The sequence below is a fragment of the Homo sapiens genome, chromosome X (genome assembly GCF_000001405.40).
Source record: "Homo sapiens chromosome X, GRCh38.p14 Primary Assembly".
Classification (NCBI taxonomy): domain Eukaryota; kingdom Metazoa; phylum Chordata; class Mammalia; order Primates; family Hominidae; genus Homo; species Homo sapiens.
Genome location: NC_000023.11, coordinates 78097249 through 78104208, shown reverse-complemented (window position 1 = coordinate 78104208; position 6960 = coordinate 78097249). Strand labels below are relative to the sequence as shown.

General features: G+C 44.0%; 1 annotated feature.

Moving 5' to 3' along the window:
- Positions 15-74: a silencer, noted in NCBI's record as "silent region_20909". NCBI's record gives its function as "represses an Ori minimal core promoter by ATAC-STARR-seq in GM12878 lymphoblastoid cells {active_cell/tissue: GM12878}" and the evidence as "EXISTENCE:reporter gene assay evidence [ECO:0000049][PMID:35858748]".

The following is a 6960-nucleotide window of genomic DNA, read 5'->3' as shown; positions in this document are numbered from 1 at the left end:
ACCCCGCCTCCCGCACCGCCCCTTCCCGGCCGCTGCTCTCGGCGCGCCCTGCTGAGCAGCCGCTATTGGCCACAGCCCATCGCGGTCGGCGCGCTGCCATTGCTCCCTGGCGCTGTCCGTCTGCGAGGGTACTAGTGAGACGTGCGGCTTCCGTTTGTCACGTCCGGCACGCCGCGAACCGCAAGGAACCTTCCCGACTTAGGGGCGGAGCAGGAAGCGTCGCCGGGGGGCCCACAAGGGTAGCGGCGAAGATCCGGGTGACGCTGCGAACGGACGTGAAGAATGTGCGAGACCCAGGGTCGGCGCCGCTGCGTTTCCCGGAACCACGCCCAGAGCAGCCGCGTCCCTGCGCAAACCCAGGGCTGCCTTGGAAAAGGCGCAACCCCAACCCCGTGGAATTCGAGGCTGCCCTACCAGGATCAATGCAAATGCCACCTCCTTTTGGAAAATCCTGGTTTCCTAGCTCCCTTCATGGAATTCTGCTTCTTAAGGCTTACTTAGTAATAGAGACCTCTCAGAAGTTGGAAGAGGCCCAGGTCCACTCTGGCCCCCACCTTTTTTAAAATAAAAAATGCAATGTAATTTTTCTGGTTATGGCATGATTGATGCTAATGGCAAACACGTGGCATTTTTCATATATTAACCAACGCTCACAAAACGCAGTAGTGACTACTGTTATCCTCATTAGGCAAATGAAATAACTGATGCACAGAGAAGTTTAGTGGGCCAGGCGCGGTGGCTCACGCCTTTAATCCCGGCACTTTGGGAGGCCAAGGCCGGCAGATTGCTTGAGCCCAGTGGTTCGAGACCAGCCTGAGCAACATAGCAAAACCCCATCTCTACTAAAAATACAAAAAATTAGCTAGACGTGGTGGCGGGCACCTGTAGTCCTGTTACCCGTGGAGGGTGTCCAAGTTCTTAGCGTCTTGAACTAAGAACTGGACGAAATGCACAAAGCAAAGAAAGAATGAAGCAATAAAAGCAGAGATGTATTGAAAACGAAAGTGTAACCGCCCAATGGGTTCACCTTGTCCGCTGCCTAGACAGAGCTGATTTATGAAGACGGGAATTGCAATGGCGAAAGAATAATTCACGCTGAGCGCTGTGCGGGAGACCAGAGTTTCATTATCACTCAAATCAGTCTCCCTGAGCATTCTGGAATCAGAGTTTTTAAGGATAATTTGGCAGGTATGGGTTCGGAAAGTGGGGAGTGCTAGTTGGTCGGGATGAAGATTAAATCACGGGGTCGAAGTGAGTTCTTGCGAGTTCTTCCTGGGTGGGATCGTGGAGCTAGTTGAGCCAGATTATCAGTCTGGGTGGTGTCCTCTGCTGCATGAGAATGCAGGGTCTGCAAAATATCTCAAGCACTGATCTTAGGATTTGCAATGGTGATGTTATTCCCAGAAGCAATTTGGGGAGGTTCAGATTCTTGCAGCCAGAGGCTGCATGGCCCCTAAACTGTAATTTATAATCTTGTAGCTAATTTGTTACACCTACAAAGAAAGGCAGACTGGTCCCAGCAAGAAGGGGAAAGGGCTGTTATCAATTTTGTCTCAGAGTTTACACTATAAATTCTTTCCCAAGGCTAGTTTGGCCTATACCCAGGAATGAACAAAGACATTTTAGAAGTTAGAAGGAAGATAGGGTAGGTTAGGTCTGATCTCTTTCACTGTCATAATTTCCTCAGTTATGATTTTTGCAAAGGCGGTTTCAAAAGTATACTCCACAAGGTGAGAGCAGGCCTGAGCAAGCAGCTCAAGAGCTTGGTTACAGAATTTTCTGGGGTCTAAATACCCGGTAGAGGTTTCCCATTAGCCACTTGGTGTATACCCCATGCAAATGAAGTAGTGGTCCATGGTCAGTCTGATTGGTTGCAGAAAGTGACCAATCAGAGGCTGAAGTGAAGTTACAAAGTTACACTCCTATACAAATGAAAACTTGGCCTGCCACCAGCCTGATTGGTTGCAGGAAGGGACCAATCAGAGGTACTTTCAATTTCTCATTCAACTGACTTTTATTCACAGTGCTGGGAAAATATATATACTGACTGAGGAGATATTCTAGTTAACCAAGTGTGATGATGATATATCACTCAGATTCCCTCTTTCAGAACTGAGGCACTTATTATTAGCTGCTGGGAGTATTAGTTGCTGACAGCTCACAGCTGAGTTTCTCCCCAGAAACTGCCCTCTGTTGAAGGAAGCTGCCTTGCCTAAGGTTATACCGACTTCCCAGGGGCATCCATTAGTGATTGCTTAATGCCGTTCCAAAGGCCTGGCTTCTTTGCTTCATTTCAGGACGTCTCTAAAGGACCAGCTCTGCTTCAGAACTGTCTGTGGGGTTGGCTGAAGCCTCTATTGAGACTTCTCCCTTTTCTATCCAAATCTGATTTCCTTACTCCTTTACAGGACTTGTTCCCAGAAGCAACCCCCAGTGATCCACCTGCACACAAATCTCAATCTCAGAGCCATTTCCCAATTCTAAGATGGTGCCCATGATCTCTGCCCTCTAGTGTTCACATCTTTCTATAATTTCCTCCCCTTGAATGTGAGCTGGAACTATGACTGGCTTCTAACCAATAGAATGTGGCAGAAGTGATGAGATATAACTCCCATGATTAGATTATGATGTATATAGGAGATTCCATCTTTCTAGTTTGCTCTAGAGAGACACCCTTGTTGGCTTTTTTTTTTTTTTTTTTTTTTTGAGACGGAGTCTCACTCTGTTGCCCAGGCTGGAGTGCAGGGACACAATCTCGGCTCACTGCAACCTCCGCCTCCCGGGTTCAAGCAGTTCTCATGCCTCAGACTCCTGAGTAGCTGGGATTACAGGTGCATGCCACCACGCCCAGCTAATTTTTGTATTTTTAGTAGAGACGTAGTTTCACCCTGTTGGCCAGGCTGGTCTCGAACTCCTGACCTCAAATGATCCGCCCGATTCGGCCTCCCAAATTGCTAGGATTACAGGTGTGAGCCACCACACCCAGCCCAATGTTATTTCTTTAAACCAATGAGAATTCTTGACAAACAACTTTGCAATCACCCCCACTCCTGATTCATCCTTTTTTCTTAAAAAATTTGAACCTCCCCATTGTTCTCCAGAGTACTCTTCAAGGCAACCTGGAAGTGTGTCCCAGGCTGCAGTTCTCAACCATGGCCCAAATGACCTTTCCATATTTTGCCTACACTTCTTCCTTTTAGGTCGACATGATCTATGGAGAAAAATCAGTTGAAGATATCTGTAATGTTAAATTTGTTAACCATAAAATGCAACTGGGAGACAGATTGCAGGCAATTTTATGAAAAAACTTAATAAGACCATATTGAAAAAAAATACATTTTTCAGAAAAATACCAGTAACATGGTATTAGAGACAGATATAGCTAAGAAACTGATCAAAATATGTGTATGCCCCAAAAAAATCTGCTTGTGGTTATTTTTTTTGGAGGGAGCGGGGAGGGTTGTTTGTTTGCTTGTTCTAAAGACAGGACCTCGCTCTGTCTCCCAGGCTGGAGTGCAGTCCAGCAATCAGCTCACTGCAATCAGGCTCAACCTCTGGGGTTCAAGGGATCCTCCTGCCTCAGTCTCCCAAGTAGCTAGGACTACAGGCATGAGCCACCACGCCCAGCCTCCTTAAACTCTTTAAAGTATCCCAGTTTAGGTGATAAATCATATGGTCTCTCTAAGGCTATAGGATCTTTCTTTTTGTGGCTTTTTCCTATCCTTTAGTTTAGTTATCTATTACCCAGATCCCCTTTTATATATAAGTGTAGTCTTCTGTAAATATAAAAGACCCACTTAAATTGTCTATTCTTTATCACATTCAAGGGAGATATCAAAGGAAGGGAGATAGGAAGTTCAGAGGTATAAACGGGGTCGGGCTTTTGTTCCCTGAGAGGCTTCTTTTTGCCAATTAATTCATTAACAAGCCCCAATAGTTGCCTCAGAAATAGATTGATACCTCCAGGGACATGTGAGTAAAGCAGTGAGAAAAGAAAAAAAAACGCACACATACAGCAACATATACAGAAAAAGAGAAAGAGCATGCAAGAGCTCTAAAAATAGTAAATACAATTCTAATCAAAGAGAATCCCACAAATATGAAGGTAAGAGGTAGAGCCTATATGAATCCTAGACTCCTCTGCACCAATCCTCTATTGTGAATTCCTGGAGGAAAGTTTATGCCATTATTTACGTTACAATGCCCCAATACCTTCTACATTGGGGTCTTTACCATCAGGTCACCATTGTAACAGAGACCATTTTCCCTTTCTTTACTAATAGAACTCCTAAATTTTAATCAAACACATGGCTCTCCAACAAGAGACTACATTTCTCCATCTTCCTTGTGGCTTGGAGTGACCATGTGAGCAAGTTCTGGGCAACTGATATAAGCCATTTCCACATAGTGACCCTAAAAAGGAAAGTTCATGCTGTCTTTAGGCCCTTTTCTGCCTTCTGCTGACTGGGAGATGGCAGAAGCTGGGGCAGCCACCTTGGCCTCAGTGATGGTAGTGCTTCCTCACCAGCCCTGGACCACTCACCTCTATACTGTTAACATGACAGAGAAATCAACTTCTATCTTGTTTAAACTACTTGTGTACAATCTTTGTTACAGTACCAGTCCCCTCCCTAATAAAACTATGGTGAGCTAACCTTGCAAAATGAAAAAAGCACACATTGAGTCACTGGAACATGAGTAGAAAGACCAATGGGACAGAATAGAAAGTCTATAAATAGAACCAAATGCATGTAGAAAATTAGTACCGAGTCAAATCAGTGGGGTAATAATGGACTTTTATTTTAAATCAATGGTCTTGAGACAACTGCATAGCTATATAGAAAAGATAAAGTTTGATCTCTTCTTCACACATATGGCAGGCAAACTCTGAGTGACACAAAGATCTAATAGATTTACCCTTTGAGCCAGCAGTTCCATTTCTGTGAATCTAATGTAAGGATAGATCTCTGGACTTTATGTATTTCTGTATGTACATTTTCTCATTTGTCATAGCAAAGGACAGGAAAAATCCCAAGTGTCTGTCAATAAAGGACTAGTTAAACTATGGTACATGAATACAATAGAATACTGTACTATATGAAGCTTAAGAATGAGGGAGCTCATTCCATATCAAGGCTGCAGTAAGCTGTGATGGCGCCACTACACTCTGGTTTGGGTGGCAGAGAGAAACCCTGTCTCCTGTCTCTACAAATATATATATATATATATTTGTATGTATATGGCTTCTTGGCTTGTGTTTGCATAATGAAACACTGGCAGGACACAGTGGCTCACGACTGTATCCCAGCCCTTTAGGAGGCCAAAGCCGGATAATCGCTGGAGGCAAGGAGTTCGAGACCACCCTGGGCAACATACCAAGACCCCTGTCTCTACAAAAAAAAAGAAGAAGAAACACTGAAAGGATATATAAGAAATGAATAACATTGTTATTTATGGGAGTAGGAAGTGTAAGTTAGATGGGGACAGGAGTAGGTATGGGGGTTCTAAATGTAAATCTTGTTAGTTTATTTTTTGAACCATGTTAATGTATTACTTATTCAAAATAAGTAACTTAAAAAGAAATCGGGGTTAGACAAACAAGATCATCCATAAGCTACATTAGGAAAGCCCAAGATTTTCTGAGAGGCCAAAGCTATCAGTAGTCGCTGCTACTTAAACAACTCACTGAATACCACTGTGCCCCCAGTGAACCTACAGAAAAGGAAATCAAGAAAAATGGCATGTCTTTGGGCTGTAAACTGGCTAGAGAATCCAGATACCATGAAACAACAGTAGAAATTCATACAGAAGTTGATGGGTTTAGCATTCTCTATGGTGGTAGATGAGACTTCTTTCTGTCCCTTTTCTTGTCATCAAGTATGGTTTCATGTGCAGTCACTTTAGACCACATAGTAAAATGGCAGAGATCATCAACAATGAGATCACAAAATGCAATGAGCTTTTGTTGAATCACTTAGCCTCTGGGACATGTGCAAAGACAGCTAGATGTGTAGAGAGAATTCATAATGATGGCTAAGTAGCTGCCTTGCTCAGATTTTCTGCACTGAACTACCAAGGATACAAATGTTACCCTTTAAGGCAATGATTGAGTAAAAGGTTGGAATGCTCTGGCTAAATAGTGAATTGGGGAGTTATCATATTAGGTAGTTACCACCCAGTAATACCTTATTATGCATTAACTAGTTAACTAGAGTTCTGAAATGTGAACAATAAGTTATTAGGTTTTCATGCTGAAATAAAGGCTAAAAGGAATAGTGCAATGAATAGTATCAGAAGAGGGCAGGCTTGGGAGAGTAACAGTAATGGGGGTTTAGGGAAGGGGATGAAGCATGAGAGTCTGGGAAATGACAAGGTACAGACCTGGTCATGGAGGAGCCATTACAAAAACAGCCTAGTTCCATGTAGCTTGCCACACAGATGTCCAAGCGCCACCTAGGTTTAGTGTTTTGTTTATTTATTTGTTTTGTTTGTTTTTGTTTTGAGACGGTGTTTTGCTCTTGTTGCCTAGGCTGGAGTGCAATGGCACGATCTTGGCTCACTGCAACCTCCGCCTCCCGGGTTCAAACGATTCTCCTGCCTCAGCCTCCCAAGCAGCTGGGATTACAGGCACCTGCCACCATGCCCAGCTAATTTTTGTATTTTTAGTAGAGACAGGGTATCACCATGTTGGACAGGCTGGTCTCGAACTCCTGACCTCGTGATCCACCCGCCTCAGCCTCCCAAAGTGCTGAGCCACCGCTCAGCCACCGCTCCCGGCCTCACCTAGGTTTATTAAATCATATGTCCTGTGAAATTCCAAATGGAACAACAATGTAATGCACTTAAAGGGAAGTTATAAAACTTCTTAAGTACCCCCAGGTGAATCTAATGCACAATAAGCCTCGCAAACTGCAACTTTCTGGTATCTACTGGCCATGACAGTTATATTTCTCACTGCAA